The 27906-nt window shown below is 42.8% G+C and overlaps 1 protein-coding gene and 1 long non-coding RNA gene across 3 annotated transcripts in view, besides 11 other annotated features; one reads left to right on the top strand and one right to left on the bottom strand.

The window, feature by feature from the left end:
- Positions 1 to 672: part of a meiotic recombination region, noted in NCBI's record as "this region was identified as a recombination hotspot within the HapMap CEU population", that runs on past the window's edge. NCBI's record gives the evidence for it as "EXISTENCE:nucleotide sequencing assay evidence [ECO:0000219][PMID:20981099]".
- Positions 1 to 672: part of a meiotic recombination region, noted in NCBI's record as "this region was identified as a recombination hotspot within the HapMap YRI population", that runs on past the window's edge. NCBI's record gives the evidence for it as "EXISTENCE:nucleotide sequencing assay evidence [ECO:0000219][PMID:20981099]".
- Positions 1 to 27906, top strand: part of ABL1 (ABL proto-oncogene 1, non-receptor tyrosine kinase) — a 174633-nt gene that overhangs the window by 54151 nt on the left and 92576 nt on the right. The window lies entirely within an intron of this gene.
- Positions 1 to 27906: part of a biological region, named in NCBI's record as "ABL breakpoint recombination region", that runs on past both edges of the window. NCBI's record gives its function as "recombination_partner: LOC107963947 | LOC107963948 | LOC107963951 | LOC107963955 | LOC107966121 | LOC107966125".
- Positions 1 to 27906: part of a mitotic recombination region, noted in NCBI's record as "ABL minor-breakpoint recombination sub-region recombines with the BCR-ABL minor-breakpoint cluster region, producing the e1a2 transcript", that runs on past both edges of the window. NCBI's record gives the evidence for it as "EXISTENCE:nucleotide sequencing assay evidence [ECO:0000219][PMID:20703256]".
- Positions 1 to 27906: part of a mitotic recombination region, noted in NCBI's record as "ABL major-breakpoint recombination CML sub-region recombines with the BCR-ABL major-breakpoint cluster CML sub-region within the BCR-ABL major-breakpoint cluster region, producing the e13a2 and e14a2 transcripts", that runs on past both edges of the window. NCBI's record gives the evidence for it as "EXISTENCE:nucleotide sequencing assay evidence [ECO:0000219][PMID:20703256]".
- Positions 1 to 27906: part of a mitotic recombination region, noted in NCBI's record as "ABL major-breakpoint cluster ALL sub-region recombines with the BCR-ABL major-breakpoint cluster ALL sub-region within the BCR-ABL major-breakpoint cluster region, producing the e13a2 and e14a2 transcripts", that runs on past both edges of the window. NCBI's record gives the evidence for it as "EXISTENCE:nucleotide sequencing assay evidence [ECO:0000219][PMID:20703256]".
- Positions 55 to 860: an enhancer, noted in NCBI's record as "H3K27ac hESC enhancer chr9:133642635-133643440 (GRCh37/hg19 assembly coordinates)". NCBI's record gives its function as "activates a minimal SCP1, AML or CMV promoter by ChIP-STARR-seq in primed H9 embryonic stem cells {active_cell/tissue: H9 hESC(primed)}" and the evidence as "EXISTENCE:reporter gene assay evidence [ECO:0000049][PMID:30033119]".
- Positions 861 to 1665: an enhancer, noted in NCBI's record as "H3K27ac hESC enhancer chr9:133643441-133644245 (GRCh37/hg19 assembly coordinates)". NCBI's record gives its function as "activates a minimal SCP1, AML or CMV promoter by ChIP-STARR-seq in primed H9 embryonic stem cells {active_cell/tissue: H9 hESC(primed)}" and the evidence as "EXISTENCE:reporter gene assay evidence [ECO:0000049][PMID:30033119]".
- Positions 1954 to 2812: a meiotic recombination region, noted in NCBI's record as "meiotic double-strand break mapped by DNA meiotic recombinase 1 chromatin immunoprecipitation followed by single-stranded DNA enrichment and sequencing in the germ cells of some male individuals with the PRDM9 A/C genotype". NCBI's record gives the evidence for it as "EXISTENCE:chromatin immunoprecipitation-seq evidence [ECO:0000229][PMID:25395542]".
- Positions 14701 to 14767: a meiotic recombination region, noted in NCBI's record as "this region was identified as a recombination hotspot within the HapMap CEU and YRI populations". NCBI's record gives the evidence for it as "EXISTENCE:nucleotide sequencing assay evidence [ECO:0000219][PMID:20981099]".
- Positions 15475 to 27906, bottom strand: part of LOC124902288 (uncharacterized) — a 34793-nt gene continuing 22361 nt past the window's right edge. The window contains exon 3 of one of the 2 annotated variants that reach the window (XR_007061823.1): positions 15475 to 15601. This is a non-coding gene — a long non-coding RNA (uncharacterized LOC124902288). Of the gene's footprint in view, positions 15602 to 20311; positions 20488 to 27906 lie in introns of those variants that run through there. The other variant, XR_007061824.1, reaches the window with a different exon arrangement.
- Positions 27120 to 27906: part of a sequence secondary structure, noted in NCBI's record as "region with an inverted repeat containing 243 nt of perfect identity separated by nearly 2000 nucleotides [PMID:23588714]", that runs on past the window's edge.

Below are 27906 nucleotides of genomic sequence, written 5' to 3' on the forward strand. Positions count from 1 at the left end.
TTTCATTTCTTTGCAGCTCATGCCATCTGAAACTACCTCATTCAATTATTGATAGATCTGTTTGGAATTCCAGGAGTCCCTTTGCGATCCCATTCTTCTAAAGATTCACATGGCCTCAGAATGCCATGTTACAGTGGAGAGTCTGACTTCTTGTTTTCTGAGACGGAGTCTCACTCTGTTGTCCAGGCTGGACTGCAGTGACAATCTCTGCTCACTATAACCTCCGCCTCCCGGGTTCAAGCGATTCTTGTGCCTCAGCCTCCCGAGTAGCTGGAATTACAGGTGCCTGCCACCACGTCTGGCTAATTTTTGTATTTTTAGTAGAGATGGGGTTTCAACATGTTAGCCAGGCTGGTCTCGAACTCCTGACCTCAGGTGATCCACCCGCCTGGGCCCTCCAAAGTGCTGGGATTACAGGCAGGAGCCACTGTGCCCGGCCTGACCTCATATTTGAATACCGAGTTTTAGTTCTGGAGGAGCTGCAGGTTTTATGAAAAGGGAACACATTTGATTCCTCAGAGCAGCCACAGGCCAGCTCTCTGAAGTAAAGTGCACGTGTGCATGTGTGTGCACACTCACACACACGTACACACACATTCACAAATAGGACATCTCTTTTAAACAGAAATGGCCACCTGCATTTGAGAAAATAAAGTTTCATGCAGAAGAAAGTGACATGTTAAATTCAATCATCAAGATTTAGACTGGTGGGAATTCTGCACAACAAATGACTTGGTTTAATTAACATGGAAATTGCGAGGAAAAAAATGAAGTGGAACCTATGGATTTAAAAATTAGGAAATTTTAAGATTTCCATCGTAATTTTTTTAAAACAATATATTTTACTTCCAAAACCCTGCGTTTTCACATGGTAGCTATCTGCTGGAGCTGAGTAGCCGCTGCTCTCTTGAACAGCATCACCCAGATGGGAGAGCCCCCTTCCCCCCAACCCCCATACACTCCTATGTGTACAACTTCCTGAACCCTGTAAGCATTAGAGCTTGCAGCCTCTGCTTTTTCTGTTTCCTTCTTGATGGGAAGACTGGCAGCAGGATTTACTTGGTTGCTACATTTGTGAATTTGTAAAATAATTCATGCTCTGCTAGGTCTGTAACTTGGGAGGCTTGGTGTGCACGGGCATTTAGCAGCAACTCAGAGCGTATGGAAGACTGTCACTGGCAAGAGCAAAGTCCCCCCAGGACAGAGCCAGTGACGACTAGCTGTGTATCCTCAGTCTGATGGCGGTGGAAGTGAGGCAGCACCAAGGAGCAGAAACAGGAAGTTTCCACTGATGACCACCCTGCCCCCAGCTAGGCTGAAAGGCCTCCCCAGAGCCCTTGCATCAGCCTGGCTTTGCACTGGTCTGGGGGATGTTGCTTGTTAGAGCCAGTGAAGAAGAACGGTAGTAAGTTACCTGATGGCCAAGGCTCTGTCTGACCCTGTCTGCTGTCGTGTTCCTGGCACAGAATAGTCTTTGTTGAAGGAACGAATTAGTGCATCCTTCCAAGCCTTGGAGGACCTGTCTATAATAGGCCCACTCTATAGGGTCTTTGTGAGAATTAAATTAAAACCCCTATGAGAAACCTAACTAGAGACAATTGGAAGTAACTTAAATATTTGTTCATTGGGAACAGCTACATAATTGTGGCTGTCATTCTGTACAACACTCTGTGGCTGTTAAAGAGCTAGAGGTAGTTTTATGTGGATTGATGTGTTCAATGTGTTCAATGGAAAAGCAAGGGTAATATAATCCCATTTATACTACAGAGAAAAATCGGGTCTGTAAATATGTTGAGAAAGGTCTGTCGATAGTGGTTATCTTTTGAGAGTGGAATGGATCGGGGTGGGTATGGCCTGGGGACGTGAGGGGGAATTTTTCACTCTTTATTTCACATACATCTGTCATTGGCACAGAAAATTAAGCAGTAAACCTAAAGAAACAGAATAGTGCTTGTTGTATAGTTAGATCAATAACTTGTAACTATTATAAAAGGTAGTTATAAAGTTAGTAAGGGCCAAAGGTCTAACTAGAGTAGGTCGGTTATAGAGGAAAACAGTTTAATCAGTTGTTGTTTAACTTTTATGGAATGCAACTTCTTTAGCTTTAATTTGGAGAGCCAAACTATGGCCCTAGTCTTTTTTTTTTTTTTTTTTTTTTGAGTTGGAGTTTCGCTCTTGTCCAGGCTGGAGTGCAATGGTGCTATCTTGGCTTACTACAGCCTCCACCTCCCGGGTTCAAGCGATTCTCCTGCCTCAGCCTGCCAGGTAGCTGGGATTACAGGTGTGCACCACCATGACTGGCTAATTTTGTATATATATATTTTAAGTACAAATGGGGTTTCACCGTGTTGGCCAGGCTGGTCTCAAACTCCTGACCTCAGGTGATCTACCCACCTTGGCCTCCCAAGGTGCTGGGATTACAGGTGTGAGCCACCGTCCCCGGCCCCTAGTCTTTTATTGTATTGTATTGTATTATTTTTTAGTCAGGTTTATTGAGGTATAATTTACATATCATAATATTCCCCTTCTTTATTATACAGTTCTATGGACTTTGACAAATACATACACTTGTGAAATTGCCACCCCTTTTGAGATACAGAACAGTTCTATCACCCCCTAGAATTCCCTTGTGCGGCCCTTTTGTAGTCATCCTTTCTCTCTTCTCCCAGCTGCTGGCAACCCTGATCTGTTTTTTTGTCCCTGTAGTTTTGCCTTTTCCAGAATGTCATATCAATGGAATAGTACAGTCTGAAGCCTTTGAATCTGGCTTCTTTCATTCAATATAATGGGTGAGGAGTCAACCACGTTGTTGCATGTTATCCACATTTCCTCCTTTTGTGTCTCTGAGTAGTATTCTCTTGCATAGATGTACCACAGTTTGTTTATCCATTCACCAGCTGAAGGACAGTGCTCCAGGGTCCTAGAGCACAGAACTCTGGCTTTGTTGTCTTTATTTCTACCAGTTGTCTCTCTCTCTGTCTCTCTCTCTCTCTTTTTTTTTTAAACCCTAGAAGATTATTAAGATTTATAAGACTGGGTATGGTGGCTCATGCCAGTAATCCCAATGCTTTGAGAGGCCAAGGCGGGAGGATCACTTGAAGCCGGGAGTTCAAGACCAGCTTGGGCAATGTAGCAAGACCCCATCTCTACAAAAAATTGAAAAATTAGCCGGGTGTGGTGGTGCACACCTGTAGTCCCAGCTACTCAAGAGGCTGAGGCAGGAGGATCACCTGAGCCCAGGAGTTTGAGGTGATAGTGAGCTATGACTGCACCACTGCACTCCAGCCTGGGCCACAGCATAAGCACTTGTCTCCAAAAATGTTTAAAAGATTGACAATACAGTCTTCTTCAGAGTCTCCATAGGAAAGGAGCGGCACGAAATGCAAATTATTTGGAGGTTTTGGAGGTTTCAAACTTTTAATTACTTGGCACATATAGTGCTTACTGTGTGCAGGCACTGTTCTAAATATTGCTTTCAAATATTTAAAAGTGCTTAGAACAGTTACAGCACATAGTAAATGCTATATATCTGCTTGTTAAATAAATAAAAATTTAAGTTTCCAAATAATCTGTATTTCACATAAAAGAGAAGAGATGTGGGACAATATAAATAGGCAGGAGACCAGGGTTGTAGACCCGGTACTATCACATTCCCAGCCTACCCCTTAACCTAGTCCCTTGGGTGAATTACCGACTCTGGGTCTCACTTACTAACATGAAAGGAGGTTCATAATCTGAATCCTCCTGAAGGAACAGATAATATCTCAACTCTTAATAGTTGAACTCTAAAATTTGGTCAGTATAAAAGTAATGTTATAAAATGTGTCTATATCTGTTTATTTTACATTGTATTGGGCCTGGATAATTGGTTTCTTCCTTTTTACATGTATATAACATCCTATTGGGATCTGTATTAAAAGTGTACTAAAAACATTCACCACATGGTGGTGCTCCCTTCAAAAGCCAAACTGAAAATTGTAGGCCAGCATTGAGTATTAGGCATGGAGTTGATAGGGGCAGCTGTATGTATGTATGTATGTGTGTGTGTGTATGTATGTATGTATGTATGTATGTAGAGATGGGGCCTCACTATGTTGCCCAGGCTGGTCTTGAACTCTTGGCCTCAAGTGATCTTCCCACCTCAGCCTTCTAAGTAGAGTGCCAGTTTATATTCTACATTTGTGCTTTAAGTTTTTTTTAGGGAAGTAGGGTCCTGTCATTTTATTAGCTTGATAACTTATACAGATGCCAAAATACAGGAACATTTGTTCTTTCTTAGGCATTATGACATATTCATGTACATTAACTGATGTTATACTTTTTAAGTGTTCCAAATATCTTCACTCAGAAGTTTATGTGCTTGACAGGAAAAGAAAAAATACATCTGTAAGGAAAGTATCATAGGTATTTATCCTTCAAAAGCTGATGTTTTTATTTATTTATTTATTTTTAACCTAATGTGTTCTTAAGTCATACTGGGATAGCAGCAGTACCCAGCCTAAGAGAAGCTGCAGTATAGTTTCCTTGGTCAAATGACTTTTTCTTTCTTTCTTTCTTTCTTTTTTTTTTTTTTTTTTTGAGACAGAGTCTTACTCTGTCGCCCAGGCTGGAGTGCAGTGGCAGAATCTTGGCTCACTGCAACCTCCTCCTCCTGGGCTCAAGCAATCCTCCCACCTCAGCCTCCTGAGTAGCTGGGGCTACAGGCACGTGCCACCACGCCCAGCTAAGTTTTGTATTTTCAGTAGAGATGGGGTTTCGCCATGTTGACCAGGCTGGTCTCAAACTCCTGGCCTCAGGTGAGCCGCCAGCCTTGGCCTCCCAAAGTGCTGGGATTACAGGCATGAGCCACTGCGCCCAGCCAAAAGTTGGTGTTTTTAAAAAATGCTTCCTGGTAACTGCCTTAGGGAGAATAATGTTAACATTTCAGTTGTGATTCTCTTGAAGCACAGTATTTCCCTGCCTTTTAGATTTGAAATGGATACTTCTAAGCAGTTGTGACTGGCTGGATTTCAGTCATTTACATCGGAACACTGGTCTGGTCAGCTCACCTGCATCTTTGGTAGAGAGATATCTCCCAAACATACACTCTCCCTGAAGGATTTTCATCCTTCATATGCTTATCAATTCCCTTGCCAAGTATTTACTGTTTGTCCACATGAGTACAAGGCATTGAGCTTGTGCTACTGTAGACTCACAGATGGTCATGATTTTCAGGAATTGAATAGAGAAGATGAAACACTGAGACACTGGATTCAAATGCTAGACCTTACTGGGTTGACGTTAGTAATAGACATGTGAAGAATTATAGCGGTTGAGAGGAAAGAGACATCTCCTCACTAGGGTGACTGGTCAGGGAAAAAGATGGGAGTGGTTTTTGGTGGGAGAAGAGGAGGAGACGGGATCTGGGCATATGAAGAGGCCTGGGGTACTGAGGTGGAATTTCACCACACCCCAAATCTGTTGAAAAGAGGAAAGTGTACAGGCAGGAGACACAGAATCTGGCCAGAGTGAATGTCCTGAGCAAGGGCATGGGAAGAGGAAAACGCAGGGCACAGGGATTAGGTGAGGATCCAACTGAATGCTTGCCCAAGGGGCTTCACTGTCGAGGATTTTGACTGAGATGGGGGCAAACATGATAGACAAACTTTAGGGACAATTTAGCATTGTCTTCAAACACAGGTATGAGGGAGACTTTTGCTGGTGATAGGACAGATTATCCTGAAAATTGACCTGACAAAAATACTTAGACCTGATCCCTAAAATATAATAAACATCTTTTTAATGAATAGCTGAACTTGCAAGAAAAAAGGTAAATCCCCAAGGCCTATAAAATAAAAGATGAGCTGGCCGGGTGCAGCGGCTCACACCTGTAATCCCAGCACTTTGGGAGGCCAAGGCGGGTGGATCACCTGAGGTCAGGAGTTCAAGACCAGCCTGACCAGCATGGAGAAACCCCATCTCTACTGAAAATACAAAATTAGCCGGGCATGGTGGCACATGCCTGTAATCCTGCTACTCGGGAGGCTGAAGCAGGAGAATCACTTGAACCTGGGAAGTGGAGGTTGCAGTGAGCTGAGATCGTGCCATTGCACTCCAGCCTGGGCAACAAGAGTGAAACTCCATCTCGAATTTAAAAAAAAATTTAAAAAATAAATAAAAAATAAAAGATGAGCTGAAAATAAGAAAGACAAGCCAAAACTGTAAACGTCTTGGCATTGTTTGCTAATTTCAGTAATCAAGATGCTTTTTTCCCCCAATGTTTTGTTTTTGTTGCTATTGTTTTGAAATAGGGTCTTGCTCTATCGTCCAGGCTGGAGTGTAGTGGTGCAATCATGGCTCACTGAAGCCTTGACCTCCTGGGCTCAAGTGATCCTCCCACCTCAGCCTCCTGAGTAACTGGGACTATAGGTGTGGGCCATCATGCCTGGCTAACTCTTTTTTTTTTTTTTTTTTTTCATTTTGTAGAGATGGGGTTTTGGGGTTTTACCATGTTGCCTAGGCTGGTCTTAAACTCATGGGCTCAAGTGTCCTTCTGTTTCAGCCTCCCAAAATGCTGGGATTACAGACATGAGCCATTGTGCCCGGCTCCCCAATAGTTTTATTGAGGTATAACTGACATAAAATAAACTGCACATATATAAAGTATACAATTTGATAAATTATATGTATATGCCCACAAAACGATCACCACAATTAAGATAGTGAAAAGCCCATCATCCTCAGAAGTTTCCTTATGATTCTTTGTAATTCTTCCCTGATTTACCTCCTTCCCGGTCCAATACTTACCTGTTTTCTGTCACCATAAATTAGTTTTCATTTATATAAAATTTTAGAAAATACAGTCATATACTATGTACTCTTCTTTGCCTGACATAATTATCTTGAGATTCATCCATGTTTTTGGATCAATAATTTGTTCCTTTTTATTGCTGAGTACTATTCCATTGTGTGGATGGACCATAATTTGTTTATTCATCTGCTGATGGGCATTTGTTTCCCTTTTTGGGCTAATACAAATAAAGCTGCTAGAACACATATGAACATATCTTTTTTACTTTTATTTTTTGCCTTTTTCCTGCAGTATGAGCAAAGCTTTGTGTGGACATTTGCTTTCTTTTCCTTTGGGTAAATAGGAGCAGGATCGCTGGTCATATGGTAGCTGTCGATGACACTTGAGTCTTAAGGGCTGCTGTTTGGGGAACTGGAGACATAATCTTGGGCCTATGAGTAGACAGGGACTTGGAATTCAGACTGCCCTATAAAGCTAAGATCATTGATTGGCTACACTTTGAGCAAAATGATAGACTAGAAAGAATAAGCTGTTGGCAGAATATTTAAAAAAGAAACTTGCCAGGCACGGTGGCTCATGCCTGTGATTCTAGCACTTTGGAAGGCTGAGGTGGGCGGATTGCCTGAGCTCAGGAGTTCGTGACCAGACTGGGCAACATGGAGAAACCTCATCTGTTAAAAAAACAAAAACAAAAAGCAAACAAACAAACAAAATTAGCCAGGCATGGTGGCGTGCATCTATAGTCCCAGCTACTTGAGGGGCTGAGGCTGAAGTATCTCTTGAACCCAGGAGGTTGAAGCCGAAGCTGAGATTGCACCACTGCACTCCATCCTGGGTGACAAAGTGAGACCCTATCTCAAAAAAGAAAGAAAGAAAGGAAGTTAGAAAGTGGGGGAGGGAGGGAAGGAGGAAGTGAGGAAGGAAAGAAAGGAAAGAAAACAAAGAGAAAGAAACTTGTCTGATTTGGTCTGCACTTTGAGTGAGAGGAAACAAAAACCTCCCGAGATAACTTTTATTCTAAGCATGCCTTCTTTTAAACTTTGTTTGAATTTACCTGGCCTCTGTAGTTTGTGAAATTCCAAGAAGAGACATTATTTTAGAGAGATACTAGGTTGCTAGAGTTCCTAGATTACTACAGTTCCTAGTTAGCTGGCAGAAGTCAATGCATATCCTCTTGGACTATATCTATCTTTTTCTCAGTCTTAACACCAGATTCCCAAAGATAAAGCTTCTCCAAACATGATCTCACAATCCAAAACTAAGAACATGAGAAAACAAACAACCTTGCATCACAGAGCAGGAAAATGAACAGTAGAACTATAGTACTTTATAGCTTTAGATATAAAAACTGTCAGATTCAGAATATAAAATACTGGTTTAAAAACATTTAAAGAAATAAAATGTGAAATAGAAAACAAGTAAGGACTAAAATCCTATGAAGAAAAATCAAATAATTGAAAAAGAACTAAAAAAGAAATGAAAACTACGATCAGTGAAATTAAAACTTCAGTGGATGGGTTTAACAAGTTAGACACAACTGAAGAGAGATTTAGTAAACTGAGGGATAAAGCTGAAGAAATTATACAAAACGCAGCATAGAGAGACAGAAGTCTAAAATATAAGCCTATAAGGAGAGAGAAAAGAAGTCAATAGAGATAACAGATGAGAGACAATATTTGAGGAGATATTGCTAAATAATTTCCAAGAATAGTGAAAAACAAGAATCTTTAGATTCAGGAATCAGAGCAAATCCCACGTGGAATTAAAAAAAAAAAGTCTTCTCCAAATATAAGGCCAATAGAACACCAAAGACAAAAATAAGATCTTAAAAGCAATCAGAGAGAAACTGATTACCTCCCAAGGAACCCTATTAAACTCAAAGGAGACTTCTCTACAGCAACGATGGAAACCAGAAAGAAGACAGTGGAACAGTATCTTAAAAGCGCTGAGAGAAAAATTATTGTCAACCTAGAATTTTAAACTTAGCTAAAATATAATTTAGTAATGAGAGCATGATAATGACATTTTCAGATAAACAAAAACTGATGTCTCCAGCACGGTCTCACAAAGGAACTTTTATACTTTCAAAAAAGAGAAAATGATCCAAAAAGGAAGAATGTCTGCAATGCAAGAAAGAATAGTGAGGGAAAAGAAAAAGTGGAATGAATAGAGAATTAGTCATGTGGTATCACATGGCAGCTCACTCAGGAATCATAAAGCTGGCCTTGGGATAACAGAGCTAAACTTTAGAGTCCTGAGTCCTGTTAATACTCAATCCTCTGTGAAATTCAATTAAGTGAGCTTCAAGTTAACCTAAAAAGCTGTGGTGAGGCTGGGCGCGGTGGCTCATGCCTGTAATCCCAGCACTTTGGGAGGCCGAGGCAGGCAGATCACCTGACGTCAGGCGTTCGAGACCAGCCTGGCCAACATGGCGAAACCCCGTCTCTACTAAAGATACAAAAATTATCTGGGCGTGGTGGCTACTTGGGAGGCTGAGGCAGGAGAATCACCTGAACCTGGGAGGCGGAGGTTGCAGTGACCAGAGATCGTGCTACTGTACTCTAGCCTGGGCGACAAAGTGAGACTCTATCTCAAAAAAAAAAAAAAGCAGCAGCTGTGGTGACTCTTTTCTTGAGGTCTTTGGGGGCTGCCTGTTGGTGGACAGGCTGGTGTGAAGTTGGTAGCCCTGGAGGAGCTGGGGGGAGTTGCAGGGCTAGTGTAGACAAGCTACAGAAGCCACAAGGGAGGTGCTGCTTAGAGGGGGCTCTTTATTCTTTGTTTGGTTTTAATTTGAGACGGGTTCTTCCTATGTTGCCCAGCCTGGTCCCAAACCCCTGGGCTCAAGCGATCCTTCTGTCGCGGCCTCCCAGAGCGCTGGGGATACAGGTGTGAGCCACCATGCCTGGCCTCTTTACTCTTATTAATTTAATGCTGGTTTTCCTAGATCTTTGTCTTTTTTTCTGGATTTTGGGAGATTTCTTTCCTTGAGTATTTTTCACTTATTTTCTATTAATTTTTTATTTTGGCAGTCATACTTTTTAACTACCACAGCTCTTATTTAAAAAATCCTTCTCCTAGTATCACATTCTTGATTTCTGGGCATATAATCTTTATGGGTCTCTCTGAGGATATGAGTTACGGTTTTTTGTAGTTTGGATTATCTCCAGTTTCCTGAATTATCTGTTTCCTTCAGGATAATCTGTTCATCTTGGTCTTTTTCTGTGATGCTCTAGGCTTTCCTCAGCAGTCTGGTAATCCTGGTTGTCCATTCATGCTTAAGAACATGGGAATGGAAGGGGTGTTGGGAGTCCTATATATGTGGATGGGGTTGTCCATTGGCTGGTTTCAGTATTGGACTAATGAGTAGAGGAATCAAGGAACCTCTCAGGGCTTTGTGTTGGGACGCTGACACACTGCATTAGTACCTTCTAGACTATGAGCAGGGGAATCGAGGAACCTCTCAGGGCTTTGTGTTGGGACACTGACTCACTGCATTAGTACCTTCTAGACTATGAGCAGGGGAATCGAGGAACCTCTCAGGGCTTTGTGTTGGGACGCTGACACACTGCATTGGTACTTTCTAGACTGTGAGCAGGGGAATCGAGGAACCTCTCAGGGCTTTGTGTTGGGACGCTGACACACTGCATTAGTACTTTGTAGACTGTGAGCAGGGGAATCGAGGAACCTCTCAGGGCTTTGTGTTGGGACGCTGACACACTGCATTAGTACTTTGTAGACTGTGAGCAGGGGAATCGAGGAACCTCTCAGGGCTTTGTGTTGGGACGCTGACACACTGCATTAGTACTTTCTAGACTGTGAGCAGAGGAATCGAGGAACCTCTCAGGGCTTTGTGTTGGGACACTGACTCACTGCATTAGTACTTTCTAGACTGTGAGCAGGGGAATCGAGGAACCTCTCAGGGCTTTGTGTTGGGACACTGACTCACTGCATTAGTACTTTCTAGACTGTGAGCAGGGGAATCGAGGAACCTCTCAGGGCTTTGTGTTGGGACGCTGACACACTGCATTAGTACTTTCTAGACTGTGAGCAGGGGAATCGAGGAACCTCTCAGGGCTTTGTGTTGGGACGCTGACACACTGCATTAGTACTTTGTAGACTGTGAGCAGGGGAATCGAGGAACCTCTCAGGGCTTTGTGTTGGGACGCTGACACACTGCATTAGTACTTTCTAGACTGTGAGCAGAGGAATCGAGGAACCTCTCAGGGCTTTGTGTTGGGACACTGACTCACTGCATTAGTACTTTCTAGACTGTGAGCAGGGGAATCGAGGAACCTCTCAGGGCTTTGTGTTGGGACACTGACTCACTGCATTAGTACTTTCTAGACTGTGAGCAGGGGAATTGAGGAACCTCTCAGGGCTTTGTGTTGGGACACTGACACACTGCATTAATACTTTCCAAACTTTATGTTCTTCAGAGAAGACCCCTCCTTGCTGGGGGTGAGGAGGTGGAGAAGTGGGTCAGGCGTGTGCCTTGGCTGGCTGCCGCTTCATATACAGACGTATGATCCCTGGTTTTCCCCCGCCCTCTGTGTCTCACTCCCTTCCTCCACTGCACTTGCCATCTTCATGTTTGGGGCTCTTCTGGGCAGATGGGCTTGATCCTCACCTGTGAATTCCTCTGCTCTCCTTTGCCAAGCAATGCTTGCCCATCCACTTTCAGATCCCCCAGTTTGTTGAAATATCTAGTATGATGACAGCTTCTCTGTTCTCACCATTGTCGTGGTTTATACCTTTTTTACTCCTTGGCTGTAATTTAAAGGGGTCACAGGCAGGAGGGGGATGAGTGCATGTGCTCAGTCCACCATCTTGACCGGGAGCCCCAGAGGCATCATTTCAATTCCTGTGATATTATGGATTCCTACGGGTAGGAAAAACACAGCCCATTCAACCAAATATACTTTAACCCCTAGAGATTTAGCTTTAACTTGTTTAGAATTGTTTAAAAGTCCCTTGTATTTTGCAGTTTTTTCATTTTCTCCTTGAAAGTAAAAACATTTGTGGCAAATAGGGAAGAAAAACTTTCCAGTTAATCGAGAATTAGGATAAGTGAGATTTAAATATTATCAGATACTGATAAGAACTATGGCTTTTAAAGAATGTCGTCTTAGAATCAGTTTCTAATTACTTGTGTGCAGAAGAGTCCTGCAGCTGTGAGGTGATCACAGTCTTTGGCCTAAGCCACTGCCAGGTGAGTGAAAGCCAATCTGGAGTCACAGAGTGGCAGCGACTGCACCGGAGATGTGTGTGCCATTTGTTAAGATGAGTCAAATGGTAGTTAGGGCAACGAAGATCCACAGAGGGAGAAAGAAAGATACTGGAAAAGCAGCAGCACAGTTTAATAACAGTCATCGTTCATGATGGCAAGGTTGTTTACTATAAAAATTCCATCCTTCTTGCCTCTGTGCTGCCCCCCACCATTTTTTTATTTGACATTAGGGCTTGCTGATTTATGGCATAACGCAGTACATTTCACCTCTGAAACAAAGTCTGTAAAATCTTGAGATATATTAAAGTCTTTATTCCCCAACGCTAAAGACCTCATACTGTTTAGTCCTCTATACATTTAGCCCTTTATGCTTGGGGAGGGGGAGGTTATAAATTTCTAGAGGGAACTGGATTGGCAATGGTATGTTTGATGGTGAAATGCCTTGACTAAACAAACAAGGCTGCTCCAGAAACGCACACACAGCAAACCTATATGCCATATAAGTAACGTGTTATGTGGGGAGTTACTTTAGGTTTAAAACAAATGTCATACTCTTGATGCTTTTAGGTAGCTATTATCTTGGTAAGGATAAGACAGAAATATGGTGAAGTTGCATCTGATTTTGAGGGATACTGCGGGCAAACCTGACAGCTAGCTTGGTTACTAGAGGTTTAATTAGTTACAGCTGCTCTGCCATTGTATTAATAGAGCCACTCTGCTTTCAGGCACCATGGATGCCTTTTATAATTTGGATGTTCTTAAAAAGAGCACTGTGTGAAAGTGAGCAGCCCTGGGCCGGGCGCGGTGGCTCACGCCTGTAATCCCAGCACTTTGGGAGGCCGAGGTGGCTGGATCACGAGGTCAGGAGTTCAAGACCAGCCTGGCCAAGATGGTGAAACCCCTTCTCTACTAAAAACTACAAAAAAATACTCCGGGCGCAGTGGCAGGCACCCGTAATCCCAGCTACTCTGGAGGCTGAGGCAGGAGAATCGCTTGAACCCAGGCAGCAGAGGTTGCAGTGAGCCAAGATCACACCACTGCACTCCAGCCTGGGCGACAGAGTGAGACTCAGTCTCAAAAAAGAAATTGAACAGCCCATTTTGTGAACCACTTCAAAAAAAAGCAAACACATTTTCCTCTGGCTTTTGGCTGTTTTAGGAAGAAGCCATACGGTGAACCAGGTGATGCTGAGGTTATCTGGATCCAGGCCATGCAGATGAAGCCATATTTACCTTTGTGATATTGGGGCTGATCTTGGAGCTGTCTGGATCTGACCAGTCTCCAGATGAAAACTCTTGCAACTTTCGTTTTTGGATAGTGCTCACCTCGTATCTGTACTCGTACCTGCTATTTCTAGGCGAATTGTCCCCTTTCTCCTCCCTCTTCCCTCATCTCCCTCTCTCCTCTGCCTGGCTGACACCAGGAAGGAGGAGTTTTCTTTTATTTAGATAAAAAAAAGTTGAGAGGAGGGAGCTCCAGAAATGTGGGATACTCAGCACTGGAGACATTTGGGCTGGAATTCTTGTTTCCATTCTTTTCTTACCATATGACCAAGTAAGTCCAAGAAAGTAGATAGGATTCTGAGTGGGCAGTGAAGGTGGAAATGTGGTCCTAAAGAGAACGGGCAAATTAAGAAAAGATTGTTTTAAGACAGTCAAATTGTTTTGCCTGTTGAAGAAGGTGATCAGACCCTAATGAAACTGAAAATGAGGAGAGTGTTCCCATCTCCTGCCTGGTTCTAGCGACTCTGCAAATGGGTGCCTGATTGGTCTGTTGGCTCTGAAGCCAGCCTTTGCTGGATATATTCAGCCTGTTTTGAAGTTGTGCAGAGAACCTCACTTGCGTCATTCTGAAGACGCAGTGAGTCAACGCAGTCCCAAGAGAGCAGTAATGGCCCCAAACAGAAACTTGGAATGAAAAATAGCCATGGATTTAAAGACATAGCACATTCTTCCTATGACTTCATTTGGTAATGGTAAGATTAATTCACAGAAAACCCTTCTTGAGTGGCGTACCTTAAACACATGTAGAATGATTTTTTTCTTTGCTTTTCCCATTTAGCCTTTTGAAACAGGATACACAGTAGGGTGATTGGTTTGGGAGGGCACTGGTACAGTAATTCTCCACCTCTCACTTGCCCGTGTGGGTGCCCCATCCCCACCCTCAGGCACACACGCACTCTTAGCTGCTTTTGGACTCCTCCCGCAATGTCACAATAGTTTTCTTTGAACATTCTTGACCCTCAGTCATGTTGACATGCGTTTGGATTTTCAGTGGAGAAGAATTGCCAGAGAAGAATCTTCCTCTGATTTTAACCATTGACCATATTTATATATGCAGTTTCAGCTTGACTTTTAAATTGATAATCTTTTAATAGAATTCCAGATAACATCTTACTGTAACAAACACCAAGGGGATTATCCAAATTCCTATTTGAAAATATGTCTTTTATATTACCAGATTTGCCAGCTGCATTATTATCTATTAGTGTGTACTAAAAGTATATTATTTTGGCTTATTTTGAGATTAGATAATTCCCAGTGGAATTCTCCCCTTAACCATCTAAATCTGTATTTTTTTTTTCCCCATTTAGTTTCCTAAACAGTGAGGCTTCTGGGCAGGAAATGAGAGAAGAGGAGGAGGTAATATAGAATAATGCAGTGGCTTTCAAGCATTGTGACCCATATGAGGAATACATATTCAGTTATGACTTAGCATTCACATATGCACACATACATGTACGTATATACATCACATTCACACATATGCATATATGTACATATACAGCTGAAGAAGGTCTGGATTAGTACTTTTCCTTATTGTGGAGCACAGTGAGTGATATTTTCTTTTTCTTTTTCTTTTTTTTTTGAGACAGTCTTACTCTGTTGCCCAGGCTGGAGTGCAGTGGTGTGATCTCGGCTTACTGCAACCTCCACCTTCCAGGTTCAAGCAGTTCTCCTGTCTCAGCCTCCCAAGTAGCTGGGACTACAGGCATGCGCCACCATGCCTGGCCAATTTTTTTGTATTTTTAGTAGAGACGGGGTTTTGCTATGTTGGTCAGGCTGGTCTCAAACTCCTGACCTCAAGTGATCCGCCTGCCTTGGCCTCCCAAAGTGCTGGGATTACAGGCGTGAGCCACTGTACCTGGCCGATATTTTCTATTTTATTTCATTTTGAAAAAGATAGGCTGTGACTCATTAGTAGTGGATCTCATGACTAAGAATGGATCCTGACCCAAGTTTGAAGAGACTGGTAGGGGTAAATTTAGAGCCTGGGGCTCCAAAGTTTGTCTACCCAGTTTTAAATCCTGGCTTTCCCCTTAACTTGGGTGGGATCACACCATTAACCGTGTTACCCCTCTGAAGCTTTGGCTCCCACACCTGTGAGATGTGAATGTTGATAACACACACCCACCTCATAGGATTAATGAGAACATGCCAAGATATAATGCGCTGAAGGTCTTAGCATGCCTGCGCAGAGCCCCAGCATCTGTTAGCTGCTGCTGCTGCCGCTGTGGTGGTGACTGTCCTTGCTAAGATGCTGCAGCTGGATTGGCTTCGTGGGAAGTTGTGGAATTCTGTTCCCTGAGGATGTTGGGAAGGACAGATTGTACTTACCAAGAGCATTTATTGTTGTTTTTATTTTCTTAAACATTTCCAATGAAAATCATCAAACCTATAAAGTTGAAAGAACAATGCACCTAGATTCATCAACTCTTAACACTTGCTATCTCTCTTACATAGAAACATTTCCCTTTTACCAGTCCACTTGGAAATTGGCTATATACTCACGATAGCCAAGAACAAGAACACTCTCTTACACCATCACATCATTGCCACACTTAAGGAAATCCACACTGATCCAGGAACATTATTTGATATACAGTCCATATTCAGAATCCTCCAGGTATCAGTAATATTTTAATTATGACCCATTTGGTGAATTTAAGATGGATTAGATGGCCTGTGGAGTTATTCATGGAGCTGAAGACTTCTGTGAAGTAAAAAATAACCACCCAGTGTTAAGTGTAACTCTCGTGTGGAATATTAAATCAATTGTGTGTTTTTTTTGGCATCCTTGATGTGAACTCTGGAGACCTGATGAGATGGAGGCTGTGATTGTTTACTCTGTGTTAGCTTGGACACTTAGCTTGGCAGTAATCACAAGAGCTTTAGGGAGTGCATCCTTTGCTAGTTCATAAAGATGTATTCTGATAACGGGGGACCAAAAGGATATATCCTGAATTGCAAAGTCGAGCAGTAGATTACATTTGGATTTGAATGTAAGTGGCTGTGAATTAGAAATATTTGTTGGAATTAGAAAGTGTCTAGGTAGGAATGTAAGGTCTCCCCTCAAATTGAGAATGACAAGGCTGTCTTCTAAGGACAGAATTTAAGGTGAACACTGTGGAAGTTTGTGCATGTGTTTTTTGTTTGTTTGTTTGTTTGTTTTTTGTTTTTTTTGTGACAGAGTCTCGCTCTGTCGCCCAGGCTGGAGTGCAGTGGCGCAGTCTCCACTCACTGCAACCTCTGCCTCCTGGGTTCAAGCGATTCTCCTGCCTCAGCCTCCCGAGTAGCTGGGATGACAGGCGGGCATCACCACGCCCAGCTAATTTTTGTATTTTTAGTAGAGACGGGGTTTCACCATGTTGGCCAGGCTGGTCTCGAACTCCTGAGCTCAGGTGATCTGCCCACCTCGGCCTCCCAAAGTGCTGGGATTGCAGGGATTAGCCACAGCACCCAGCTTGTGCATGTGTGTTTTTAAGAAAACGTCCACAAGGTAAGGAAATTCAAGCAACCAAGAAAAGACGCTTGATAAACAGTAAGTCCCATCTTGCTAGTTTCTTCTGTATTTCTCCAGGGCCACTTTAATTGATTCTAAAATGTACATTATTTCTCATTTTTAAAAAAAATCTCTAAAATCAGGGTACATCTTAAAAGCAATATAATGCCATGGTTTAATTGGCACATGATTTAGTGATACATAAAATAAAGGCACCTCTTGCAGTGGCATCTTCGATTTGAAGAAGTATAATATTCTACGAATATACAAATTTCTGTGTTTTTTTGTCCCCCCAACCCCTGCCCTTTTAAAGACATATAGTAATATAGTGGGGTTATAGGTTTATATACTGCTACTTAGCTGTGCAGAGAAATTACAGCATTTAAAAAAATCACCAATCTGTCTTCCTCATAAGTCATCATCTAGAAATGGGGAGAAGCAAAGAGTGGTATTTTGGCCAGTTAATAAGGTCTTATATTCTTTTGGCTTAAACAGTATCTTTTGGGTAAATTCTGGATTTTTTCATATATCCTGCCATCCCCCATTAAAAACCAGCATCTGGTCTTGGGGGATTGTGAGATTTTTGTGGAGGTGAGGGAGGCCCTGGCCTATGCTTGCTGCCTTTGCTCATCTAGTCTGGTCTGGTCTGGTCCCTGGGCCTTTCGCAGGTATCCCCTGAAGTGTGGTTGGTGGTCTTGAATTTTTTTCTTTTGTCTCCATCAGGGCCAGGGAACTGTCCTTGCTTCCTTTTGGTACATTCACCCTGCAGCAGATGTCATGGCTTCCAAGTGGAACTTCACTCTCTTTCTTACTAGTTAAGCTACAGGAGGCTTAGAGTGCTAAAACCGAGATGCTTCCCCTGCATAAGGCCATGCAACACGGCCATTTTATTCTGTAGCCATCCGTGTTGGGATGAGTGGAAGGTTGCATCTGCGAGGTGGTCTTCTCCTAGAGTTTCAATTAGGAAGTGGGGCAAAAGCCCCAGTGCCTTCCCTTCAACCTGACGACCAGTCTACCCTCTCCCCACCTGTGCTAGTTATCAATTTCTTGCTTGTTATCTCCAAATCCATTCTGCTTTGCCATGTTTCGTGACATGGGAACTGGACTCTGTCAACAGTTTTCCTTTGCCTGCTGGCGAGGTGTTAGGCTTTGTCAACAGAGTGCTGGAGGGACATGGCAAGGTCATGGTGGGAGGAGGGCGTCCTTTCCCAGTGTGCTGATTTTCACTGGTGAGTGAGTATCAGTGGACTGGCGTGCAAGATGCCCAGAAACACATATCAGCCATCATAGACAGCCCAGTGGGTGGTACCGTGCACCAGCTCCAACCACACACACCCTGCAGGGAGTTTCTCCACCACGTGGTGGGCTGCTGCCCTGGGCCAGCTCTGGATCACGCCCTCTGACAAGCATGTTTGCCACCGGCATGCTGTGTGTTCCTGTGGAGCTGTGCCCTTTCTGAAGAGTCTGAATCTCAGCTTTGGGGTTGGGGGAGGCTCTCCTAAGTTCTTAGTTCCTCCCTCTTCACTCTACCTGCCCTTTTTAAGACACATAGTAATATAGTGGGCTCTAAGTAGTAGACACTTTGTTCATTTGCTACTTCTGTACCCCTGGGTCCTCTTTTACTCTTCTGTCATTTGTTAAAAATCTCGGCCGGGCGTGGTGGCTCACACCTGTAATCCCAGCACTTCAGGAGGCCAAGGCGGGCAGATCACTTGAGGTCAGGAGTTCGAGAGCAACCTGGCCAACATGGTGAAACCCCGTCTCTACTAAAAATACAAAAATTAGCTGGGCATGGTGGTGCATGCCTGTAATCCCACCTACTCAGGAGGCTGAGGCACAAGAATCGCTTGAACCCGGGAGATGGTGGCTGCAGTGAGCTGAGATCGTGCCACTGCACTCCAGTCTGGGCGACATTCTGGAACTCTGTCTCAAAACTAAAAAAAAAAAAAAAAAAAAAAAAAAATCTCCTGTGGGACTTCAGTCTGTGGAGGTTATTGAGTGATGGCACAGAAAGGCCAATCCCAATAAAAGAAAATGGAAAATGTTTATTACTTCCATTTCCAAGAGGGGAGCATGCCACGCCACACCACACAGGCACATGGGGAAGCACCATCCACAGGGCAGAAAGGAGCTGGGGGAACGCCCAGGCCAGAGCCTTTGTTGGGCTTCTGTGGGAAAGGCCAGACAGGGCCAGGGAAACATCTGAGGATTGGCTATTTTGGATAATTCTGGGGGGCCCTGGGGCAGAGGGCCGTCCCTCGTTGTCTGGTTCCTAGCTCTGGGTGATTTAGGGTAGGAGAAATATTGGCTCTGTGTGTGAGAGTTAGATAAGGAGGTGGTTCAGAGAATGGGCTCTGGGTGGCAGGGGAGACGGAAACAGCTTTGGCTGTGTGTGAGTTTGACCCTGTGATTAGACTAATGGATGCCAAATAGATGAATACAGAATCTCAGAAAACACAGAACGCTCTCTTAGCAGTATCTACTTTTTGTTAATAATTCTTTTATTAAATTTTCCCTATTGAAATGACTGGTGTGGTTTCTGTCTCCTGACTGGTACATCACCTCTTCCTCGGAATTTGCGGGCAGGGAAGTGATGATACATGTTTGACTGCCTCCTACTCTTTGCACCCTGATGTGAGGGAAGGGCTGGACCCTTCTACATCTTTCTGTCTGGATGAAGCTCCTCTGCTGTCATTTCCTCCTCCTTCCCTAGTGCGGCAAGCAGCTCTGCCAGCTTGTCATAGAAGGGCATTTAAGTGACTTTGCCAACACAAACAGTACTGCAATGAAGATATGCCACACTTTGCAATTAGTTATTCACTTTAAAGTTCTGTTATGATATAGTAACTTAATAAGTGAAAAAAACATCTTGGACCAATAAGGATGGAAGAAAAGTATCGGAAAACTAGTCAGAATTAAAATAAGGACTAAATCACGACTTTTATTTCTGTGATTTCTTTTTGTATTTTTGAAGCTCTTTTCTTAGGTCAGGGCCACCATGGCTTTTTGTTGCATTGATCTCTTTATCATTATATGCTGTTTCTCCTTAGGCTCTGCAATATTCCTTGCTCTGAGTCTACTTTGTCTGATAGGCACTTCAGCTTTCTTTTGATCACGCTTGCATAATACACCTTTTCCCATCCTTTTACTCGTAGCCTGCCCGTGTCATTGCCCCAGTGGGGAACTGCTGTTGCTCTTTACTTGGAGCCAGGCTCATGGTAAGAGGATGGGGACTTTCTTGGTTCTCTTAGTCTGACTCCATCTTAGGCAGGTACTGTGTGCCTGGACTTCAGGATAGGGCTTTCTTAGCATTGTGTGCTTTCACCCTCCATGCCACCTGGACTCTGCCTTCTGTGTGTGTGTTTGTGTGTGTGTGTGGTGTGAGCTCCCGTGTGAGAGAGAATTTCCCACGTTTCCCCCCAACCCCACCCGAAGCTGACTTTTGCATTGTATCAGTGCAGAATCCAGCAGACGATCATATTTGCTGGTACCTCACCCCCAGGAGCAGCAGATCTTTGCCTGGGTCCCGGGGACAGGGAAGGTTTCTTGCCCTTCCCCCAGTGGATTACGGCTTTTGCATTAGGTCTGAGAGAGGGGCTCAGGAAGGAGGCAAGATTTTACCCGAGTCCGGTATTGAGGGGTGCTCTCTCCAGCCTCGTGCTCTGCTCCCAGTCGTCGTCACGAGCACCTGGTAGTGGCCCATGGAAAAGGGTTTGCAAGTGAGTTCAGACAGGAATTCTAGTGTTACACCAGCCCATGCTCAGCTCCATAAGAATTCATTAAAAATTGAGATGTTTTCCCGTCACCTGTTGACATGGCAGCCTCATCTTCCTCCTGTGCTCTGTGAAGGGTCACAGGGTTTGCGTGTCCCATTTCTCCTTGGAGGGATTTGTCACTGATTAGAATTCAGTTCACCTGATGGCCTTGTGGCCTCAGCTCTCTGATTAGCTCAAGAAAAGTTAGGATTTTGTTGATTATCTGGCTTTTTCTTTTTGTTGGGTTGAAAGTTCTCTTATGGCTTTCTGCATCTTAAGCAAGGGGAGTAGAACTCTATTTCTTCACCTGTCCCTCAGCAGAATTATGTAAGTAAAATAAAATTTAGGTTCCTCACAGATCAGTGCAGTTTGCTAATACAAATACTGTATGTATAGTTACTCTGTTTTCCACATCCACCATTGGTTTAAGTTTGAACACCCCTGTTTTACTTTGTATTTTGAAATAATTTCAAACTTACAGAAAATTTACAAGAATAGTACAGAGAATTCCTACATGTCCTTTACTTAGTTCGAGTCATCAATTTTTAACGTATTGCTACATTACATTTGCTTTACCATTTCCCCCCTTCTATATGTGTATGGGTATAAAATTTGTTTTTCGGAATCATTTGGGAGTAGGTCACAACATTTTGTCCTTTTATCCCTTAATATTTCAAGTGTATGTTGTAAGAACAAGGATCTTCTCTTATGTAACTATAGTATAATTATTAACTTTAGGAAATTTAACTTTGATAGAATATTTTTATTTAACCTAAAATCCGTATTCCAATTTCCTCAATTCTCCCAGTAATGTCCTTTCTAGCAATTACCCCCTTGGGTGTAGGATCCAGTCCTGGATCATGGATTGCATTAATTTGTCATGATCTTTAATATCCTGTAAGCTGGAACAGTTCCTCAGTCTCTCTGCCTTGCATGACATTGGTATTTTTCAAGGACATGGAGCAGTTATTGTATAGAATGTTTTTCAATTTTGGCTGGAACATTTCAGTTTCAGTTTGTTTGATGTTTCCTTACTATTAGATTCAAGTTACACATTTCTGTTTTAGAATATTACAGAAGTAATGCTGTATCTTTCTCATGGTGTTACATCCATTTGCATACCTTGTCTTTCTGCCTGTCGTTAATGATATTAATTTTGATTATTTAGTCAAGGTACTGTCTGGTTCCTTCATTGGATAGTTGCTAGTTTTCCTCTTGCATCTATTTGCTTTTCGGTTTTTGTTTTTTCCCTTAACTTTTTCTCCCTGTGATTTCCTGAAACCTCTTGCATCTAAAAAGCAATCTGTGGGGAGACATTTTGTGACCATATAAGTAACCTGCTCCTCATGAAACATAAAATACAAACCTTGGGTTCTCTTAGAGTGGAGAAAGGGATCAGTGATCCAAGACCGTTTCTCATAAAGCTAATACCTCAGAGAGGCTACACCATCAGAGAGAAAATGTACGGGGGAGAAGCACATTACACAGTATCAATCAGAAAGGAATATTTCTGTCTGAGCTTTCACTTTGAGTGGAGGGCAAAGAAAAAAAATCACATGAGAACTTGTGGCTGCTGACCAGCTGCTCCCACATGGGTGTAGAAACTGGTTTTATCCTATCTGTGTGACCTCCAATAGCTGCAAGTTGGAAATCTTGATTTAGAGTGGACCTAGGTTTTTACCATCCCTGGGTGCTTGACAAAAGCAAGTTTAAGTCTTCCCTAACTCAGAGTTTCCATAGATCATTGCAGCCAATATGAACACACCAAAAAAGGACATACACACACACACACACACACACCCTGAAACAAGATATCATGCGCAAGAGTCAGTAGAAACAATAGTTGTTCCTGACAATTTCAGATATTGGAAATATTGAATATAGACTATAAGTTAATTTACTACCTTTGGGGAAGCAAAAGAAGGAATTGAAAATATGAGGAAAGAGAGAGATACATCAAAAACAACCAGGCAGTTTTATTTTTAAAAATCAAATATAATGTTCAGAAGTAAAAAGCATAATCATTGAGATAAAAAATTTATGGATTGGTTAAATGTTAGAATAGAAACAGCAGAAACCAGAATTAGTGAACTAGAAGATAAGTCTGAAGAAATAACACAGACTGAAGCTAATAGAAACAAAGGGATGTAAACCACGAGAGGCTCAGAGATATAGTGAGAAGGTCCAACTTATGTCTAATTGGAGTTCCAGAAGAAGATACTACAGGGAATGGCAAAGAGAGAATATTGAAACAGATAATGAGTGAGAATCTTCACAATTGATGAACAACAGGCCTTTGTCTGTCATTTGTGGAAGCTAGCACAACAGTTTAAACGGAGGCCCATAGGCCATGTCTAAATATTTAAAAGTTACAAATGTGACAGACTGTGAAATAAAATATGTCTATACTCCTACCTTGACAAATATGTCTCTCTGATACTCTAGAAGATGAGGTTTAAATGTAGAGTTCTTGAACTCCACAGAGCTCTATGCTGGCACATAGCAGCACAGAGTGAGCCAGACCTTCGCCTGTGGCCCCCACCCTTTTGTCTTTCTTCCCGCAGCTTTATCCATGCTGTGAGGGGCCTCATGCACACATGTGTACATACTTCAGCCTGCATATCTAAGCTGTGTTCACGCTCCTCACAAGCATGCTTGTAGGTGGCAACTCTGGCCTATGCCCGTATGCTGGTGCATTCTACTTTCTTTCATTTTTATTTTATTTATTTATTTATTTATTTATTTATTTATTTAGAGACAGGGTTTCATTCTGTTGGCCAGGCTGGAGTGCAGTGGTCTGATCATAGCTCATTACAGCCTTGAACTTCTGGACTCATGCAGTCCTCCTGAGTAGTTGGGACTACATTAATTACCACACCTAGTATTTTTTTTTTATTTTTATTTTTTGTAGCAACAGGGTCTCGCTGTGCTGCCCAGGCTGGGTTTGAACTCATGGCCTCAAACACTCTTTCTGCCTCAGCGTCCCAAAGTGCTGGGATTACAAGCATGAGCCACTGTGTCGGGCCAGCATTCCACTTTGATAATAGACCTGTGGAAAAGGCCCATGCAAGTCCTGAATGTGGGCATGGATTCAATTAAGTAGGGAATTCCAGGATCCTGGATACCTAGAATATGGTGATCAGACTCAGGGTGGGTGCATCTCCTTGGGCCTTCAGGCCCCTTGCCCTGTGGGGAGAGGTGGAGTCTTTTAAATTATAGAATCTAGGGTAGGGGCCTCTCTTGGAACAGGTTCTAAGGGTGGTAATGAGAGACAAAAATTCTCTGGTTCAGGAAGCCCATCAAATTCCAAAGCGGCAAAGAAGGAAAGGAAAGAAATTCATGTCTAAACATATCAGTAAACCTGTGAACCTATAGAACATCAAAACCAGAAACGATTCTTAAAAATAGGAAGAGAGAAAAGACAGATTACCTACAAAGGAACAACAATTCATATGCCAGCTGGCTTTTCTATACCAAGAGTGGAACTACTGAAACAGTGTTTTCAAAGTAGGCAGTGAAAATAACTGTTGATCTAGAATTGTGTAGCCATGAAACAGCCTTTAAATAATGAGAACGAAGTGAAATAAAGACATTAGATAAATAAAAACAAAAAGAATTTACTGCTGAGAATTCATCACTGTGATGGTTAATATTAGGTGTCAACTTGATTGGGTTGAAGGATTGTTTCTGGGTGTGTGTGTGAGGGTGTTGCCAGAGGAAACTGACATTTGAGCTGGGGGACTAGGAGAGGAAGACCCACCCTCAACGTGGGTGGGCACCATCCAGTTGGTTGCCAGTGCAGCTAGAACAAAGCAGGCAGAAGAAGGTGGGATAAGCTTGCTGAGTCTCCTGGCTTCCTTCCTTCTCCCATCCTGGATGCTTCCTCCCACTCCTCCTGCCCGTCCACATAAGACTCCAGGTTCTAAGGCCTTTGGACTCTTGGACTTGTACCAGTGGCTTGCCAGGGGCTCTTGGGCTTTTGCCACAGACTAATGGCTGCACTGTTGGCTTCCCTGGTTTTGAGGCTTTCAGACTCGGACTGAGCCACTACGAGCTCTCTTTCCCGGCTTGCAGACCTCATATCGTGGGACTTTGCCTTGTAATCATGTGAGCCAGTTCTCCCAAATAAACTCCCTTTCATATATACATATATCCTATTAGTTCTGTCCCTTTGGAGAATGCTGACTAATACCATCACTAAAGAACATCCTCAAGAAGAAGGGAAATGACACCAAGAAGGAAGGTTTAAAATTTAAGACAACATTAAGTTGATCCAGAGAGATGCATTAACTTGCCTAAAGATCACACTTGGTTCAGAACCAAGCCTAGACTTAAACCGAGACAGGATGCAAGAAAGAAATCAAGTTAACGACAGAATTTCATTTTCACCCAGGAAGTAGACACAGGGTCCCTTGGGGCTCATTTTGGGAGAAGGCCTACCTTTTTCCCAGGACACACCACCATTTACACGTCGAGTCTTACAGCCTCCAGGACTTTAAGCTTCCCACTGCTAATGTGTCATTTTTCCTTTCTCTTGCCACTGAGTTGTTTGCTCAACTAGAGGATTTTACTTTCTGCCCTTCAAGTTCACATGGTAGCTCGCATGGTAACATAAGTGAGTCTTGGCAGTGTTGCCAGGGACAGGATGACTTTAATTTCATTCCTCCTCATCTTGATGCTTTTTTTCCCTTTCCAGTTCCCATCAGCTACTTCCCTACCCCTAGTGGTCCTATGAGTCCTTCAGTTCTCCCCCTTTCTCCATGACACACCAGGAGCCATGTCAGATGTGATTTCTGACCTGGGACCCTGAATGGCACAAGGAGAAGAAGTACGGAATTGGGGGAGGGTATAAGAGGGTTTAAGATGCGTGAAAAATGTTGAGTAGGACATTTCAAGAGATAGTTCAAATAATATGGTACCTTTTGTTTACGTCACCACACTTGGCAAATTTGATCGTATGACATCTCATTTGATGTCTTTGAGATGACAGATGTTGTCCCTACTGTAGAGCTAAGATCCTCAGAGAGGTTAAATGACTTGCCTGTAATCACTAAGTTAGAAAGTGGCAGAGCCCCAGAACTACCCCATGCAGCTGCTTTCTAGTTTCTAATCAGGTGCTTTTTCACTAACACCATCTTGCCTCTACAAACTGACGGCTTACAAAATGCTACCAAAGGGTAATACTTTTTATTTTTGAGATGGATTTTCACTATTGTCACCCAGGCTGGAGTGCAATGGCACGATCTCGGCTCACTGCAGCCTCCGTCTCTGAGGTTCCAGCAATTCTATTGCCTCAGCCTCCCGAGTAGCTGGGATTACAGGTGCCCGCCACCATGCCCACCTAGTTTTTGTATTTTTAGTAGAGACGGGGTTTCATCATGTTGGCCAGACTGGTCACGAACTCCTGACCTCAGGTGATCTGCCCGCCTCAGTCTCCCAAAGTGCTGGGATTATAGGCATGAGCCACCGCGCCTGGCCAAGGGTAATACTTTTTAATCAGCCAATAAGATTCACATGGAATTTGCTTATTTTTAGTATTCCTGTCAGTATTGATGGATTTCTTTAAAAGTTTTTTCCATAGATCTATTTGCCCATCACCTCTCCAACTCCTCCAGCATCTGCCCCCTTTCTTCCGCATACATATTGTGATGTCTAACTGGGCCTTAATTATCATGAATTTTAAATTGGTGGTATCCATACTAATCAGGATTTCCTGTAATTGGAACATTCTTCACACTTTTGATATTTGCTGATTGTCCTCTCTATGCATTTTAGAAGTTTCAGACTATTTTTTCTGAGAAATAACTAGAGTCTGTGCAAGCTGTGTCGTACATTTTGACTGCAATTTTAGTACTGAGTGTTGCTTGCTTGAAAAGAGGCAGGTAAACCAAGTTATTGAGTGCAGTTTCAAACACAAGCCACCACTGTTCCATAGATCAGGGGTCCCCAATCCCCAGGCCACAGACTGGTCATGGTCTGTGGCCTGTTAGGAACCAGGCCGTATAGCAGGTGGTGAGCGGCAGGTAAGCAATGAAGCTTCATCTGTATTTACAGCCGCTCCCCATAGTACTCATTACTGCCTGAGCTCCGCCTCCTGTCAGATCAGTGGCGGCATTAGTTTCTCATAGGAGCATGAAATCTATTGTGAACAGTACATGCGATGGATCCAGGTTGCGTGCTCCTAGTGAGAATCTAATGCCTGAGGATCTCTCATTGTCTCTTATCACTCCCAGATAGGACTGTCTAGTTGCAGGAAAACAAGCTCAGGGCTCCCACTGATTCTACATTACAGTGGGTTGTATAATTATTATATATTACAATGTAATAATAATATAAATAAAGTGCACAATAAATGTAATGCACTTGAATCATCCCAGAACCACCCCTCAGTGGCCCCATCCCCAGTCTGTGGAAAAATTGTCTTCCACAAAAGCAGTTCCTGGTGCCAAAAGGGTTGGGGACTGTTGCCATTGGATCATGACACATTACTATCTTGTTGAATTAAACGTTGCAAACTGCAACGTTTGTAACTGCCAGTAGGCAGTTTTTATTTTATTTTTCATTTTTTATTTATTTTTTTACCTGTGAGCCCACATCCATAAAGTTAGCAGACTATGTCATAGTCAAGAGACTTTGCTTTATGAACTAGCTGATTTAGTTTGCTCACAAGCTTTGAAAGAGTCTTTTTTTAAAGGCCAAGTTTAAGACACCTTAGACCATAGAAATATGTGTATTTCCTGGCCATTCGATCATTTGAAGGCCAGATTTTATCAAAACAAATGAATCACTGTTTCTCCTTCCTTCATCATTCCCTAATTGGTTTCCAAAATAAAATGATTAGTGGCTGCATTTCTCAACTGCATTGTTTTGATTACAGTCTTACTGGCTGTATTGGGTGAGACATTGGGAAATGCTTTCATAACTGGTGATCACTGTTGACGGGGTTCCCTGACTTCATAAAGGCCCAGATTATGTTACCCCGAGAAAGTCTTTGAAGGAGCAAGCTCTTTCTTATGCTTTTGTTATTAAGTTAGGGAAAATGACTTTAAATAATGGAACCTTAGTTACAATGTAGGTTCCACTCTTCTTGAGATTTGTGTTACTTTTTAGACATGACAAAAGTGTGCATTTTAGAGTTCCTCTTACCCCAGGAACAATGGACTCACTTGGCTTTCAAAAGGGCAGAATATACTGAGTATTTCTGACTGCAGGTTTCTTCTTTCTGGTACCCTCAAAAATACACCATAAATAGTAGATTAATCTCCCTTTTGCTGTCCGTGAGTCCCTTCCCGTTTCTTCAGCACTGCTTGATATGACTGGTATGGAGGCCTAAAGCTGGCTGGCCTAGTTAG

This window comes from Homo sapiens, chromosome 9, assembly GCF_000001405.40.
Source record: "Homo sapiens chromosome 9, GRCh38.p14 Primary Assembly".
In the NCBI taxonomy this organism is placed as follows: Eukaryota; Metazoa; Chordata; class Mammalia; order Primates; family Hominidae; genus Homo; species Homo sapiens.